The sequence below is a fragment of the Homo sapiens genome, chromosome 17 (genome assembly GCF_000001405.40).
Source record: "Homo sapiens chromosome 17, GRCh38.p14 Primary Assembly".
Classification (NCBI taxonomy): Eukaryota; Metazoa; Chordata; class Mammalia; order Primates; family Hominidae; genus Homo; species Homo sapiens.
Genome location: NC_000017.11, coordinates 45697390 through 45715267, shown reverse-complemented (window position 1 = coordinate 45715267; position 17878 = coordinate 45697390). Strand labels below are relative to the sequence as shown.

At 48.5% G+C, this 17878-nt stretch overlaps 1 protein-coding gene across 2 annotated transcripts in view, besides 1 other annotated feature; it reads right to left on the bottom strand.

The window, feature by feature from the left end:
* LINC02210-CRHR1 (LINC02210-CRHR1 readthrough) overlaps positions 1–17878 on the bottom strand; it is a 215483-nt gene that overhangs the window by 120561 nt on the left and 77044 nt on the right. The gene's annotated exons all lie outside the window — the stretch shown is intronic.
* Positions 9191–10390: an enhancer, noted in NCBI's record as "P300/CBP strongly-dependent group 1 enhancer chr17:43782244-43783443 (GRCh37/hg19 assembly coordinates)". NCBI's record gives its function as "activates an origin of replication core promoter dependent on BRD2, BRD4, P300/CBP, MED14 and CDK7 cofactors, with strong dependence on P300/CBP, by STARR-seq in HCT116 cells {active_cell/tissue: HCT116}" and the evidence as "EXISTENCE:reporter gene assay evidence [ECO:0000049][PMID:35650434]".

The window sequence follows — 17878 nt, the reverse complement described above, 5'->3', positions numbered from 1 at the left end:
TCCAAATCTCATATTGAAATGCAATCCCCAGTGTTGGAGGTGGGGCCTGCTGAGAGGTGTTTGGGTCATGGGAGTGGATCCCTCATGAATGTCTTGGTGCTGTCCTTGTGATGGTGACTGAGTTCTCTCAAGATCTGGTTAAAAGTGTGTGGCATCTCCCCTGCCCCTTGCCCCTGCTCTGGCTATGTAATATGCCAGCTGCCCCTTTGCCTTCTACCATGATTGGAAGCTTCCTGAGGCGTCCCAGAAGCTGAGCAGATGCCGGCACCATCCTTTCTGTACAGCCCGTGGAACCATGAGCCAATTAGGCCTCTTTTCTCTATAGATTAACCAGCCCCAGGTATTTCATTTTTTACTTTTTTCCCTATTTCTTTTTCTTTTGTTAAACTTTGTTGTTTGGGGTTTTTTGTTTGTTTTTTCTTTTTCAGGTATTTCTTTATGGAAATGCAAGAATGTCCTAACACAGATAGGGCTCCGTGGTGGACATCCAGGCAGGCATTTATCTCTTCATTTGCAGAGTGTCTTCCTATGGTCATGAGCACGCAAAGCTGGGCTCGGTGCCTCTTATTTGCCGTGTGACCTTGGGCAAGTTACTTAACTTCCCCAGTCTGTGTTTCCTCACTTGTAACAGGGGATAAGATCAGCTATTCCACAGGGTCACTGGCAGAAGTCATCTTATCAAAATATAATGATGTCTAATATTTACTGGGTTCTTCATATGCGCCAGTCACTGCACCGATCACTCTACAAGCATTTCTTCCTTTAGTCCCCATGACAGCCCTGCCAGCTGGTGCTGTGACAGCCCTGGTTTACTGATGAGTTTCCTAACTGAGACTTAGAGAGATTAGGTCATGTGTTCAGGGTCACACAGCCAGAGACCAGACCCAAAATCAGAACTGGTATGCTTTTTCTTTTTTTTTTCTTAATTTATATTTCTAATAGATAAAGAGTGTACGCATTTACTTCATAAAATATGTTGTTCGAAATATGTATACAATGTGGAATGGCTAAATTAAGCTAATCAACATATGCATTACTTTACATACTTACCCTTTTTTGTGGTAAGAACACTCAAAATCTACTTTCAGCAATTTTCAAGAATGCAATACATGGTTATTAACTATAATCACCGAGTGGTACAATACATCTCTTGAATTTATTCCTCATATCTACAGAAATTTTGTATTCTTTGACGAATATCTCCCCAACCTCTCTGCACCTGGCCCCCGCCCCTGGCCAGTCCCTGGTAACAACTATTCGACTCTCTACTTCTATGAGTTTAGCGTTTTATGATTCCACATATAAGTGTGATCATGCAGCATTTTCTTTCCGTGCCTGGTTTATTTCACTTAACATAACGTTTATCCATGTTGTTGCCAATGACACGATTTCCTTCTTTTAAAAGGCTGTATAATGTTCCAGTGTGTCTATAAGGCACATTTTCTTTATCCATTCATTCATGGATAGATGCTTGGGTTGATTCCATATCTTGGCTATTGTGAACAGTGCTGCAATAAATATGGTAGTGTAAATACCTCTGCCATACTAATTTGATTTCCTTTGGATATACCCAGTAGTGGGGTTGCTGGGTAATATGAGAGTTCTATTTTTAATTTTTTGAGGAACTTCCATACTGTTTTACATAATGGCTGTACTAATTTACATTCCCACCAACAGTTTACCTGGGTTCACTTTTCTCCACACCCTCTCCAGCACTTGTTATCTTTCATCTTTTTGATAATAGCCATTCTAACAGGTGTGAGGTGATATCTCACAGCAGTTTTCATTTGCATTTCCCTGATGATTAGTGATGTTGAGAGCATTTTTGCATGTACTTTTTGGCCATTTGTACATCTTCTCTCTTTTTTTTTTTTTTAACTGGGTCTCTCTCTGTCACCCAGGCTGGAGTACAGTGTTGCTAACAGAGCTCACTGCAGCCTTGATCTCCCGGGTTCAAGCAATCTTCCCACCTCAGACTTCCAAGGAGCTGGGACCACAGTCGAATACCACCATGCCTGGCTACTTTTTTTTTTTTCAGAGATGGGGGTCTCATCATGTTGCCCAGACTGGTCTCAAACTCCTGAGCTCAAGCAATCCTCCAGCCTTGGCCTCCCAAAATGCTGGGATTACAAGCACGAGCTGCCATGCCTTGCCCAACTTCTTTTCAGAACTGGTGCTCTTCACCACTACACGTAGAACTGCCTTTAAGTGCCTCACTGAGTGCTCAGCCGGTCCTAACTATTACTCATATTACTATCCTGCCACTGTCCTCAGAGCAGAGAGCAAAGTCTGAGGCAAGAGGATACAGTCAAGGGCTCAGAGGTGAGGAGTACCTGTCCTGGCCCCAGGAGACTGAAGCAGGAGGTCACTGTGGCCTAGTTATTGGCAAGAAAAATACAAGATTGGTGCTTGGAAAAAAAATTTAAAAAAAGGTGTGGTCCCTGCTTTCACCAAATACTCTTCCTGCCTTGTTTTGCCCTGATTTGGTGGGATTCTATTTCTAATTCCACTGTGAAGACTAATCAAGTGGCTTAGGTGAGAGCCTGGCCACACTTTAAACCACCAGGTGTGGACAGGCTGGCTCGGCCTGTCCCGGGTAATGCAAGCAAGTGTGAAACTGGCAGAAGTTTGAGAAGTCCAGCCTGTCCCTAACTGCTGCACACTCTTCAATTAAGGTGCAGGGCTGTAGGTTGAAGGAGCACATGACACGGTGGAGGCAGGCGAGTAAACAGGATCTTTAATTAATCTGCGATTCGGTCCTCTGTTACTGATATCAGCTGTTGGGTGTTTAGCTTGTGACGAATGCACTTCTGGAGAGGAGCTTTGTCCTAAAGGAGACTCCTGAGTGGAGTGGGGGCCTTGGGAAGGCTGTTTGGAGAAGCTGTGCCTTGCATGTGGCCATGGAAGACAGGAGGGGCTGGCAGAGAAGAAAGGACGGAGAAAATTATTTCAGCACTGACTGTGCTCCAGGTGCATTCTCGTTCAGGACTCTGTGTCTCCCCTGAGATAGGTATGATGCTCCTCATTTTGCAGAGGAAGGAACTAAGGCTGAGAGTCATCTCCAAATCTGGCCCAAGGTCACAGGGCGGAATAAACAGCAGAGACAAAATTAAAAAGATGTGATTGTTGAGTATATCCCATGTCTGCCATGTATATTACCATTCCTGTGCTCGCCTTAATACTTCAGAAAACCCTGCAGCAGAGATGTGCTTATTTTACAGAAGAAGAAACTGAGATCTGAGATCCAGGCAGTTGAAGTGGCTGGGAAGTAATCGATCTCACAACAAAATTCACTCTCTTTCCGCAGTCCCTATGAGTCTCAGATTGCAAGGAGTCCATGAATCTGAGGGGTAAGCAGCAGTGAGGGAATAAACACTACCCCTTTTATGTTCATATACTGCTTTTCAAATATTTGTAAACTGTTGTTCTGTTGGATAAAATATACATTAAAGCATAATCAATTTTAAAGGGTAACTGATTCATAGTTGCCTATTCTCACTGTGCTCCTCCCCACACCTAGTCCCAATCAATGGCTACAAAAATATAGCCACTGAACCTTAGGGGGCAGAGACAACATTTGATGCTATAAATGGGCTTTCACAATGGAAGAAGTTGGAGAGCTTGTTCTGCTCTCCTTGCGGGGAGCATGTCTGGCAGGGAAGCAGGTACCCTTCAAAGGGCATGAATTTGACAACAAAGTGCCTGGATAAGCGGCCAGGAGATGCTTTTCCAACAGGGCATGGAGGTGGTGGGGAGGGGAGGGTGTGCTGACTTTTCTGTGACGATGCCTTATGACAAACAACTCTACATCTCAGTGTCTTACACCAATGAGCTCATAAGCCTGCAGGTTGGCTGTGGTGACTGCTCCTGGCTTGGCCCCATGGGTGTCTCATCCCAGATCCAGGTGTGAGGAACAGTGACTTCCTTGGGGCACAGCCTCTTCTCAGAGTGCAGGACTGGAGCCCAAGAGCCCCAGCTTTCCACATGAACTCACTCAAGGCCTCTGCTTGGAGGAGCCCTTAGTCATATGCCTGCCCTCCACATTCCATCAGCCCAAGCCAAGGTCTGTAGGATCATCAGGCAGTCCACTCAAGCTGCCCAGTGAGGAGGGGACAGTAAATATTTGCTGAACAATAACATAGTTGAGCACAGAGGGTGATCCTGCCTGCAGCCCCCTGGGCAGAAAGGCCTGGAGGACCAGCTGCTCTAAAGGGGCAGGTCCCAATAGGCAGAATTTAAAGACCACAATAGTCTTAGACTTCGACACCCCTGGCCATTGCCCAGCAGGCATCTAGCATAAACGCCCTTTGGGACCCTTTGCGGAATGCGATTCTGCACCCACTCTGCCCAGGGCACATCCCTTTTGAGTTATGGTGGCTTCTGGCTTAAAGCCTCAGGACAGTTGACCCAGCCCCAGTCCAATGCTCTCCCACCTCCCCGGCCATCCCCCTGCCCATCTCAGGGGATGGCTCCCCTGCTGGCTTGTAAAACATTCATTTCCCCTAATTCAAATATTTTCACCCTTTAGAAAACTTGTTAATATTGGATTTTAAGAAGCATTATAATATATCACTCTCTGCTCTGGCTAAAGCAGTATTTCATAAATTATTGATTTCTGCTGGTGGGAGATGAGGGTTCTCTTTCTTGAACAGTAGGCATTGCCCTGGCTGGGATCTTAGAAGGGATGACAAGTTGTGCAGTGGTGCAGAAAGAGCATCGTCACCCACCCCGGGCAAAGGAAGGAAGAAACAGGGCCACCAACCAATGGGGTTCCAATTCCTGGCTTTCTTTACTGTGGTTTAGGCCCCTGATATGGTGAAGTGGGAAGAGCAATAGGCCTGGCAGAATCCCTGCTCTGCCTCTGGCCGGCTGTGTGACCCTGGGCCAACTGCTTGGCCTCCCCAAGTTGCAGTCTCTGTGCCTGTAAATAGAATAGTACTGCCTGCAGCACAGTGCCGTTGGGAGGTAAGGAATGAATGAGATGATCCCTGAAGAGGTCACTGTCCTCCTCAGGTACTAATCAGTGGTCATTTTCTTCCTTCTTCCTCTGACTTTAGGTTCCATCAGAACGGTGGGCCCTGCACTGCAGCCACCACATTCAGACTGAAATCAGTGCTGGTTTGGGCCTAGGGCAAGAAGAATTCCCAGCCTGAGCTCAGCAGGGAGGCCCTTTGTGCTGCCTAGAGGCCCCCACAGGGCAATCCAGCAGTGCCCCTGAGCCTGGCTTGTCCACCTAGAGGTAGAAATGGCCTTGATCAGGGGTCTCAGTGGTGCCAGAGCTGCAGTGCTCCGTGCTCTGGTGGGAGCTGGCGCAGTCTGTCTTCCCCATGCCAGGTTCCACTCCAGCCTGCCATTCCCAGGGGATCTATTAGCATCTCAAGACTCAAGTAAGGCTTGGTAAAGCAGGCTCCCTGTGTGGCAGTATTCACCGGAGACGCAGAGAAAGGGAGGTGGAGATTTGGAGAAAGCCAGCTCAGAGATCCAGGGAAAAGGGCTGGGGAGCACTCAGAGCATGATCTGCCCAAGTCCACCGGAGGAAACAGGCATTTGACTTGCTTTCCCAGCTACCATCTGCTGGGAAAGGTGCGGCAGGTAGAGTGAGGGGCCACAGTGACCCCTGATCAGTGAGGGGCATGGAGGCTGGACACCCAGGCTTGCCCAGCTCTGCCTCCTGCCTCAGTGGATGAGACCAGACCTCAGGGTACACTCAGATGCCCAGGATCCTGGCATCTTAGCACCTCAGTGAGGAACCCAGGAAAGCTAAAGATTCTCAAGACAGTGACCCAGGTGCCCTGTAGGTCATTCATTCCCAAACACTGAGTGCAAAGGCTTTGGAATTTGTTATATAAATTAGAACAGAGGCAAGGGTATCCCTGCAATGCAATTCTCAGGGTTCTCTGTTCTGATGATCTTTCTGGAAAAGGAATAAGGGTTTGCATTACAGCCCCTATAGGGGTACTGGAAGTGGCCCGGGCCCATGGAAAGGGCTAACATGTGCCCATTGTGGTTAGGAAAAGTGATCTGGAAGTCACTGATCTGGTCCAAAGTTCACACTCGAGTGAAGAAACCCAGAAAAGATAAAAGGTTTGGACAAAATCACACAGCAGGTTAGGGTGGAGCCTGGACCAGAAGCCCAGACCCCAATCCAATTCCTTTTCTGCTTCCTCATTCTCTCTGTACTCACTTAGTCACTGTGGGTCTCACTCTTCCCTTCTGTACAATGGGGATGATCACACATTCCTTCCCACTCTCAAGGCGGGAGCTCTCCACAGGAAGCAGACAAAGCAGGGTGAGATCAAGCAGGATCGCAGCTGTGCCCTTGCCTTGAGGCTGGGATGATCACCAGGCCCTGCAGCTCAATCCTGAGTCCTCCCTGGAGACTGGGAAAAGCCCAGCCGCACTCAGCCTGCTATTTGTCCAGCTTAACCTGCACATCTTCCTTGTAGAGCAGCAGAACCCTGATAAAAAACATTTCATTGAGATTTATTCTCCCCAGATCCCTGGGCTGGCTTTTATTTGGTCCACCTGCCAATCAGGAAATGCGCACTTTGGCAGTGGACACGGTGAAGTTGTAAGGCTCCTCTGCCACCACTCCCCCTCTCCTTCCAAGGGGGACCCAGCCAGAGTTCCCTGCCAGCCTGTGCCCTTGAGCCCATCTCTTAGGAGTTTGCATTTTAAAAGAGGAAACTGAGTGGGGGAAATGGCAGTTTCCAAAGGAACAGATGGCTCCTGGCAGAATATGAGGCTCTGGGACCCTGCAAGGAGGCAGGGGATGCATCCACCCAGGTGGGCAGCCACTCACTCTCTGATGCATGAGACCTCCCCAACTGCCACTGGCCACCTTGGCTCTGGTGTACTTTGCAACACTATGGTACCAACTTCACAGCCAAAGCTGCTTCTCATAGTTCTTGCCTGGGTAAAGAGCCAAGAGACCTGAATTCCACGCTGACCTTGACTATGTGATTTGGGGCAAAATACTCCTCTTCTCTAGACTTCTGTTTCCTCATCTCTCAGATTTGACCTGATGGTGGTTAAAGCCTTCTTGCCCCAAAGGCAAATGGCTGTGCATGTCTACAAGGATCTTTATGTGCCCAGGAAAGACCTGAGGGGGTGTGTGATGTTTGTCCTGTTGACCAATTGGAAAGCAAGGCATGAAAAATTACCAGAAATAAGTGGCAATACAAGACGACCCTACAAAGGCCATCTATCACCAGACAGTTTACATGAAGGGTCAGGGAAGCTGAAAATAACCAGGAAGAGACATAAGAATGAGAGGAAGAGAGGAGGGGAGATGGAAGGGCTGGAGTGATCAAGGCAGTACCCCGGCAGGAGATGGGGCAGAGCTGAGCTTGGAAGGATGGATAGGATTTGAATCAATGGAAATGAGTTGGCCAGGGAGAGGACATGAGCAGAAGTAGGCACTGGTGAGTGGGTGAGTCGGGCTGGAGTGAAGAGACCACAAAGATAAAGCTTATAAGATGACAGCAAGAATGAGGGGGGAAAAGAGAAAAAGAAATTTAAAAAAATAAGATACAGCCTAAAGTTCAGGCAGGGTCACTGTGGAAACAGCCCTTTTATTTTTCTCCCTGAATCCACACTGGGAGCCCTGGTCTGCAGGATGGTCTTAGGACTTGTGCCTGAGTCCTAGCCATTTGGCCTTCCCTGCCCAACTGCCTTCCTAGATCCATACTCCTTTCTGCTGGCACTGAAGAGGGAAGCCCTCCCGTCATGTACCATGCGACTTTGTCCCCTCTAGGCTACAGGAGATGGATGAGAGGTGAGCAAGTGACTCTCCCATCCATAGGCTGATTCAAGGGCATTAGAAATGCTTTCTCTTTTGAGAACATTGAGACACACAGAAATCCATAGTCAGGAATGGAGACTGAAACCAAACAGGGGGAAAAGACAGTGGCCGCTAAGTTGGACCTTATGAAAAGTGAGTAGGCTGACGGGGCCCAGGAGAAGGGCTCCCTGCTCATCCAGCTCCAGCCTCCAAAAGCCCATTCCACAGCCTTGAGGCTGCCTGTTTGTCATCTTTGACAATCAGCAACACCCCTTCACTCAAGGCAGCGCAGTGGGTCGCAGTTCCCTGTAACAAGCACGGCTTGAGCAGACTATAGCTCACACCCGGGCAACTAGCCTGAGAATTGTGGCCACGAAAGGCAGAAGCTTCCCTAGTCCCTGGTGCCTCTGAATTAGCATCAGAACAATCTCCACAGAGGCCCTGCCTGTCTCCCACCCCAAACTCCTTGTTCCTCTGGGCCTTTGCCAGTGCGGTTCCCTGCATATCTAGAGCCCATCCCAAGACGCACTTCCTCCACAAAACCTTCTCTACTAACCCCAACCCCATCTGATCACACTGCAACTCAGGGTCAGCCCATACACCACAGTGGAGTCAGGATGAGAGCCATACAGGCCACTCTTTATAATTTACAAAGTGATGATACTTCCATTACCCAGAGGATGCAGAGTGGGCTGGCTTATCTCCACTTTGCTGCTGGAGAGGGCCAGGGCTGGGGCTTGCACCCAGCTCCCCTGAATCCCAGTCTGAGCCTTTCTTTGTCCACTCCATCCTCTGCAGTGGGTAACCCCTGCCTGGGCATATAACCTTTCCTACTAGCACTCAGAATATTCTTGGTCAATTCACTAAATCTTCAACTAAGATTAATGGGAACCTTCTTTGTGCCAGGCACTGTTCTAGGGATTGGAGATACTGCAATGAACAAAACAGACTGAATGCCTATCCTCATGAAGCCTGCATTCTAATAGGAGGAGGTATAAAATAAACATAGTAAATGAGTAACAGTATATTAGTTGGTGAGAAGGCATATGGGGAAAAAATAAGGCAGGAAAGGAAGACGGAAAATGCTGTGGGTAGGGTGGCATTTTAAATACTGTGGTCAGGGAAGCCTCACCAAAAATGTGACATCTGAACAAAGATCTAAAGGAGGTGAGGACACTGGCCATGCAGGTGTATGGGGAGGAGCCTTCCATGTGAAGGGAAGGGGGAGAGCATGTGCAAAGGCCCTGAGGCAGGTGGCTGCCAGTGTCATGAGGCTTGTGGCAGCGTTCCCCTGCTCTTCTTCCTTGTATAGCTTGGACGACTTTACTCTCCTGCTCCCAACAAGCTGCTGGCCAAAGAAGGAAGGCAGCAGCCCTTAGCATCTAGGATACTGTCCCTCTTCCCATATTCCAAAAAGAGAGACCTATGCAGAGCATCACAATGTTCAGTGACTAAGTCAGATGCTTAAGAGCCTTTCCCTATGGCAGACTCTGTTCTGAAACTCAGATCAAGACACTGGTCCCAGCTCCATGCTCCTCTGATGGATGTGGACCCAGTAGCTGGGACACTGGCTGAGGATTCCTTGAGGCCTCTGTTCACCACCCTCCCTGGCAAAGAAGGACTAAAGGGGTCAAGATACAAGGAGTCACCAAAGAATGCAGAAGAGACAAGTTCAGGAAGACTACCACATACGTATTGGTTACCCAGAGAGAACCTGAAAACAGCAGCACCATTGGGCCAACATGGCATCAGTAAGCACCAGCTGGGCCTGCTCCAAGTCCCCTGAGTTTCCACATTCCCTTGGGCAGGTAAAAATTTGCAAACCCCTTGTGTTCACCCACATTGTATTCCCTTCACTGAGTCATACTCTCCCTGTCATCTGCTCCCACTCACAGTGACTCACTTATGTCAACAGGCCCAACATACTTTCCCCACCCTTCCTGCAGGTCCCAAGACTGGCCCCTGATGCAGATGGGGCAGCAGTGGTAAATCCCAGGTTTGGCTCCTGTGTTGCTGCAGGTGGAGGGGGAGCCAGTGGGAGACTGGAAGGGGAGCTCTTGGAGGCCCTGAAGGCAAATGCTTGTGGATTTCTACTAAAAGCAACTATCACATTTGGAAAGTAGGGCAGAAAATGGGACTGGAAGCAAGAGTGAGAGATGACTGGCCCTGAGTGGCTGGGGCAGTCCTGCTGCACATTCAAACGTGGCTGAACCTCCAAGAAGCATTCCAGACTCTTCTCCAGATACCCCTCCCAGCATTTCCGCTCCTGTCCCAAGTCGTGCCAGATGTGAGAGAATATTCAGGGATGTGTGGAGCATGTGGGTCCACTGGGACAGCAATTGAGAATAACAAAATCGATGGACTGAAAAGAAAAAACATCCATTTCTCTTCCCCACCCCAATATTTACCAAGCATGTAAGCTTCATTCTCCTTTGTCCTTGCAGGGAAGCAATCACGCAGCCTGACAGTCACTGGAGCCTCGGCTTGAGTTACCAATGACTAGTAATGTGGATTTCATACTCTTGACCAAATTAAAATAAATTTGGACCAAGCCAGAATGGCTCAAATGAAACTCTGTATCCATTGCATTTCCCATGCATGTTCACACACTTACACAAACTTATGTCTGAGCCCTACATTCTCCCCAAGTTTGGGAGTCCCAGGACAAACACCCAACCCACAGAGACCCGGCATCAGGATCAACGTCCTTCTTGTTCCTATTGCAGAAAATAGACTCCAGCATGCAAGGCCCTCATCATTTGCCCGCCCCACAATCCTGCATCTCGCCAAATGCATCTCACTCTCTTCCCGCAGCCCGCTGGAGCCCACTGGAACTCTCCCGCTCCCCAAATACAAGTGACTTGCCAATTACTGCTTCTGTCTTTACAAGGTATGCCTCTGTCTTCTCCCTATATCTCTACAGATCCTCATTCAATGCCTGTTCTGATAGCTTCTCTGAGAAACCTTCTTGGGTAATCTTTACCACCCACTGAATTGAGGTTTATGTCTTTTTCCCACACCCTTCCCTGTGTGCCAGCCTCCTCCTGGGATCACCCAGTTTTTTCCTGAAGGTTTTGAAATGAGGGATTTGTCTGGAAGAGTGGAAATCGACTCTTTCTTCTCTTTTTTTATCTTCCCAAGGTGGTGAGGCTGTGGAGCAGGACATGCCCTCTGCCCTTCCTCTTGGTAGTTAGAAGAAATTAAAGCAGAGCTCAAAAGAGAGGCTGGCTCTAGTGAAGGTCTCAGGAGAGATAAGTGAAGGGTTCCTATAGGATCCATGTTTTCTACCCCAGTTCCATAGGTAGGAAATCAAATGGAATAGAGAGCAACAGTCCCAGATGAGAGGAAAAAAAGAAGTGTTCTCATGGACACAGAATTCCCTGAGTATTGGCTCTCAGGGAGGTAAGACTTCAGGGAGTGGGGTAGATGGATAGGGTACATATTTATCTAAGGTAAAGAAGGACTCATCCCACTCCTTCTGATTCAGAGACTGTTAGGATGAATCAGCAGAAACCTGTTTGATCATCCAGTCAGCTCCTCTTGTTTTAAAGGAGAAACTGAGGTCAATAGATGTGTGATCTGCCCCTCAGACATCAGGTTGGTCAGGGATCAGGGTATTTGTCTTATGAATATTAATTTTTCCAATTCCGAAGATAGACCTAAAGCAGTTCCTTTTGTCTGTGAATGAGAAGACCTCCACAAAGATACAGAGGCTGGATGAAGATGTACGCAAGCTCTTTCCTCCTGAGACCCAGTGAGGGAGGCAAGGGAGGCTCCCTAGCTAAAGAGGGAGCTCAAAGTTGCAGCCTTTCCTCATGCAAGGCAAGGGAGGGCACCTGCTGGGAGCAGAGCAGGGAGGCCATGCGTTGTCTCTGCATACTAAGATCCTCACAATGCTGAGGACAGAGCAGCGCCTGGGGAGGGAGCGCACTCCCATCAGCAGTGGGTGTGGCAGACACGCTGCTGTGTACATGTCCCAGGGCCTCAGGCTGCCCTGGAAAGTGAGGCTCTGGAGCCTCTTGCTTATAGGGTCAGCTCTGTGTGACTATGACAAGCAAGGGTTGAGAGACCGTGGCCATATGGCCTGGAGCTGGGGCACCCAGACAAAAATGACTCACCAATCCTTTTTTAAAGACATAACTAAAAGCCAATGGTATGCTTACATTTCAAACATAGCATTAGCACCTAAATTTAAACTGCTGCACTGCTGCATTTAGATAAACTAGTTTTATATCCAAGACCTTTAGGTTTTAAATACTGCAGGGAATGGTATGGTGACTAAAGAAAGAGCATTTCATTACAAAGTGGTTTTTTCTTCAAAGGGCCTAGAGCCTAAAATGGGGTTTGCCTCAAGGTCCCCTTTATCAAGGCAGCCAGAACTCTCCTATGTGCAGTTTTCTGAGACCCATCATTATTTGGACTGCTCAGAATTATTCCTGTGTGTTCTCATGTAGGTGTTTTATTGTGTCCAACTTGCCTAAAGGACCTTTTATGGCAGGAACTGGGATCCCATGTCCTTTGGGCTCCTCACAATGTACAGCTGAGCGCTGAGCCTCAGGTGGAAGGTCAGCAAGTAATCACAGTATTCCTGGGATTGTTTTTTCAGAACCATGGACAGAACCCCTTCTTCCCAGGCTGTTTTCTATTTTGTGTCTCTCCTTCCTGATTTCCTTTAAGACAAAGTCTCCAGTGCCTCACTGAGGATTCAGCTCTGCTCAAGTCTGCCTGTTTCCTGGGGATACTGGACTGGAAGCCAGAAGCCAAACTATGCCAGGTGGGAGTAAAGATGCAGAACCCTGGAAAGGAGGTGACCTAACAGCATTTCCTGCTGTTATTAGAATAAGAGGACCATCTCAGTCATGTGCCCCAGTCATAGTCACAATCCCCAACTCCTTTTAGAGCTCCAGATCCCCCTCTAAACACTACACAGTCAGTCTGAGGTCACAGGGCTTATAGGCCAGCAGAGCACCTGACCATCTGGGGCAGTGCTGAGGTAAAGCCTGGGACAGGCTGGGCTGGGGAGACCCCTGGCATGGCAGAAGACAGATGTGATGAAGAATGTGTCTGGATTATAAATGAGTGGGGAGTCAAAGGCTGAGGGTTGGGAGGGAAACATCAGTCATCAGGGTCAAGGAGAGCCTGCAAGGCCCTGGTCAGGGGGTAGGGCAAGAGGCTGGCAGCTGAGGCCTCAGGAACAATTCAGAGAAGATTCCAAGAGGGTGAAGCGATTGATAGGTTCAGAACAAAGGCTGCAAATAATACCATGGAGGTAGGAGCTTTCCCTTGTTGATGTTGGCTGTGAGATGGAGACAGATCACCTCTTTAAAGGTAGGGTGTGAGGACAGGTTGCCATTGGGACATAACACATGGCAGAAGCAAGACAGAATTTTCCACAGGCAATAATCCTGCACCCACTAAAGGTCAGATAGGGACACTCCAGAGCTGGAATTAGTAATTCGGCACTCCAGGATAATTTCAGACATCTAGTTGGTCACTCCACGTGTGCACTCCAAAACACACAATGATTCCACTAAATTCATTGCCTCTCCTCCTCCTTCCACACTCTGCCCACTCTTTGAGGCCCACTTGGAATCTTTCCTCACCCAGGACGTCTTCTAGGGCTAGAGTTAACATAGGTGCCAAACACTCGTTTGCTGAATGGATGAACGGCTCCTGCCGATCATTGGATCTGGTGAGTCTCAATTTTTTGTGTGTGCTGCCTTGGGTTGGGTTTCCTGGGAAACAGACTCTGAAATGGATATTTTCATGCAGGAAATTTATTGAGGTTGCTTTTGGCATCAACAACTTGGGGTGGGGAGGAGAGGGAAGGGGGTGTGGAGGAGAGGGAAGGAAATGGGATTAGGCAGAGAGAGAAACTGAGCTGGGATGAAGGGTCCCAGCCAAGCCTACCGGGAGTTCTGGAGCTAGGATGGCCTTCTAAGTTGTCCTGTCCTGAAGCAAAAGGAATGGGTATTTACACCCCCACATCCACAGTTTGATGCAGGCTGCCCCAAGGAAGTGAACTTGGCTCTCCTTGGCTGAGGCAATTCCTAGAGAGGGACCTAGCTGAGAGACATCATCTGTCAATACTCCTAGCTGCAACTGGAGAAGTGAGGACCTCAATCCTGAAGGAGGGACCAGGTTGACATTCTACAGCATCCACTACATGTACCAAGAGACTTGGATGAAATTGGGAGAAGGGCAACTATCAGAATTCCTGTAGGGAGTATATTTTTAAAAGTTGTCCAGAATGGTTCTATTGCATCTCCTTTTCCCCAATCCGCAGACTATTATGACTAGGAATTGCAGATCTACTCTAACCTCCTCCAAGACAGAGAGTTATTTGCCCAAGGGACACACAGTAGGCAAGTAGCTAGTTTGACTGGAGCCCCCACATTTGTGGGCTGATCTCCATTGCAGAGGGAGCCATATATCCCAAGCAAGTACCCATACCTCACCGGCTATCATATCCCCTGTAACAAACAAAGAGGCTAGCACACACCTAACCCCGAGAGGTTGTAAGTGTGTTGGGGGTGGGGGAGGTGAGTGTGTCAACAAATGCATGCTGAATTGAATTGGTTTCTTTAAAAGCAGTTATCATGTATAGACATGCCCTTTGTGCTGTGTATACATGACTTAACCTGATGAGCAAATCCTCTGATTCTTAATTAACCTTTTCATTTGAACCTCTTGACCAAACAGCAAATGGAGGCTGGTGAATTGGAAATGACAGCTTCACCTCCCCCCATGTCCCGACCTGGCCCAGCCACCTAGGCTGGTAATTACCTTTGCCAAAGCTGGGAACTTTTTACAGGCTGATGAACAAATAATCTCCTACTAATAGCTGAGATAACCACAGAGCCCAGTTCTCTTCTCGTCTCTTTCCTGATGATTACCTTCTGTGAAGCCGGGGAGCAGGTTGTGACAATATTTCTAATATTTCCCTCCCTCTCTCTCAGCCTCTCTCCCAGTCTCCTTTAATAAAAAAGAGACCATGCAGACTGGGAAGCAGGATAAGGGGCAGTGAGGAGGGAGAGGCGTTTGCCTGCAGAAGCCTCTCCCCACAGGAAAAGCCAGGTGCTCTGACCATGCCCTTTAGCAGACCGGCTGAACAGCTGATATTCCTGGAACATGCTCCTCAGTGGATGTCAAAGCAATTTGGAAGGCTGGTTCTTGGCCCATAGTCACATGGGGGTGGTGGGGAAGTGTTAGCACAGTCTTCAGCCTCCAGGGCTCAACAGAACTGAGCAAGGATCAGCAGGGAAGAAAGGGGAAATGGATGGAACAAAGAAAGGGAGAGGAAGAGGATGATGGGCAAGGATACAGGAGAGGAAGCAAAAGACTAGGTCCAGGGCATCTAGGGGGTCTGGGCCCAGAAAGGAGGTCCTGACAGTGGCCTGGGTCCCTGCACTTCCCCTTGAGATGGCTCATTGCTTCTGCCTGGACCACCTCCCTGTACCCACCCACCTCAAAATGTAATGGTAATGGCAGAATCCCTTTCAGAGTGCTTACTTTGGGCCAGGCCTGAACTATAGCTTATGTGAGCCTCATGCAACCCTAGGAGGTGGGCACCATTCTTCACATGTTACAGGTGAAGGGGCTAAAGCATAGAGAGTTAAGAAACTCATCTACGGTTCACACACAGCGAGATGGAGACAGGCTTTGGAGCCAGACAGTCGGACTCCGGAATCCAGCCCTTAATCACTCTGCCAAATTCTACCTTCCCCTTGAGCTCTGGGTACCTTTCCTGTGTGTACTTGATGTAGCAGAAACAGCACTGGATTTGAATCCCAGCTCCGCCTTCTCCCAGCTGTAGAACCCTGAGTAAGTTAACCAGTGCTGAGTTCTCTCATTTATGAAATGAGCATAAGCATGTCTGTCCTGCTTATTTTACAGAACGGGTGCAGGGATGGAGGGAGATAGTATTTGTCAAGGCCATTTGTCAGCTCCAGAGGACCCTGTACACATCAATTGGCATCCTCTTCCCTCTTCCCTTCCTCGTTATGAGCTCTCACAAGGACCATGATGGTCCACCTTGTTTGTCCAAGCCCCTCTCACATGTGGTGGGTGCTCACAAATTGTATGTTTCTGTTGAGCAAATGAAATAGAAGGACCAGGCTGGGCGCAGTGGCTTATGCCTGTAATCTTAGCACTTTGGGAGGCCAAGGTGGGCGGATCACCTGAGGTCAGGAGTTCAAGACCAGCCTGGCCAAAATGGTGAAACCCTGTCTCTATGAAAAATCCAAAAAAAAAAAAAAAAAAAAAAAAGCTGGGTATGGTAGTGCATGCCTGTAGTCCCAGCTACTCAGGAGGCTGAGGCAGGAGAATTGCTTGAACCCAGGAGGCAGAGGTTGCAGTGAGCTGAGATCACACCATTGCTTTCCAGCCTGGGCGATAGAGTGAAACTCTGTCTCAAAAAAAAAAAGGAGAAGAAAAGAAAAAAAGAGGAGAGGAGAGGACAGGAAAGAGAGGAAGAGAGGAATCAAATCTCCTCGCTTTCTTCCTCCCCCTTCTTCTTCCCCTTTCCTTCTCTTGTCCCCTCTCCTTCCTCTCTTCCCCTATATCTTCCTTCCTCTTCCTCCTCATTCTTTTCCCCATACCCAGTCCCTCTCCACTGCTTCCCAGGACTCACGCTCTAATGGAAAGACATTTGGCCCTCTCTTTCCAATCCTTCCCACACTCTACTTGGAGATAGTTTCCAAAACCACAACTGAGACCACGTCACATATGCTTAGAATCCTTCGATGGTTCCCTGCACTTACAGGAGAAGGTCAGAGCTTCTCAGTCCCGCACTAAAGCCTCTGCCATCTGCCTCCACCTCTCTTTCCTGGCCTCATTTCTCATGACTTCTTTCTGGAATCGTCCAGTCCTCACCTGCCTTTCCACCATCATCAGTCTCTTTACCTGTAAAGACTTCATTGGTAGTGGGTTAGTTGTGCCTGACACATAGTTAGAAGTCAATAAATGGAATATATTTAAGAGGACATTCACCAGGGGCTTGCCCTGTTGTTTTAGAATCTCCTCTGAGGTCCCAAGGCTGAGAACTTCAGGTGTGAATTGCCCACACACTGTGAAGGGAGATGCCAGACCATCCAGTTGGGACTTGCTGAGAATGGTCCCTCACTGGTTCTGCATCCCCTGCCCCATTACACCTTAGCCCATGCCAAAGAGAAGGCTAGAGGTTCATCGAGGTGATTAGAGGGAGGTGGGGATTTTTAGACTTCTCAGCTAGTAGTGAGGCCTGGGATGACCCAGGGCCTCCCCATCTCCATCTCCCCAAGCTAACTGTGGGTGTTCCACTGGCTGGATGCCGTCATGGAGCTGGAATGAGAGATATAGGGAAGAACCTGACCTGCAACCCGCAGAGCTGGAAGAACACAGAAACTAGGGCCCAACCAGTCACCTCCCAAAGAGTCTCAAGTCAAGAGAACTGGAGCAGCCTGTGTCTACAGCTGAGAGAAAGAGAGTACTGAGCAGGAAACAATCCTCACTTGTAGAGTTTAGTGCAGCAAAGATACAAGTCTCTCCAAGGACTGGGAGATGCAGGGGAAGGTGGATGGGCTTGAGCTGCATTGAGGGACCCACTCAGGAAGACCTGAGGACCACCTCCTGGGAAGTGGCAGCCCTAGCAGAAGAAGGCTGTGTGGGTGACATATTGAAGGAAGGGGAAGAGGAGGGGGAGGAGGGGAGGAGCTTCTGAGGAGTCACAAAGTCATCAAGGGGTGGTGCATCACCCAAGGTGGTAGGGTACCCAACTGGTTATAGTATTATTTTAATTAGTATCTTTTCCAGCATTAAAACCTGAAACCTCCTCTACAAGAGTAGTCTAGACTAGACTAGTTTGCCCACTATCTCCCTCCAGACCTCCAACTCATTTCCTCAAGCCATGCTATCTCACTCTCTTAATAAAGCCTTCCCTGACTTTGTCTTTCTATGAACTTGTTACCTATGATAGCCATAGCTAGTTGCTTATCCCAGGGTTGATTATCCTCCTCTTTAAAAACAGAACCTTGTAGTTTTACCTGGGCACATGGCCACCCACAATAAAGACTGGTTTTCACAGTCTCTTTTGTTGCTAAGTATAGCAAATTAGAT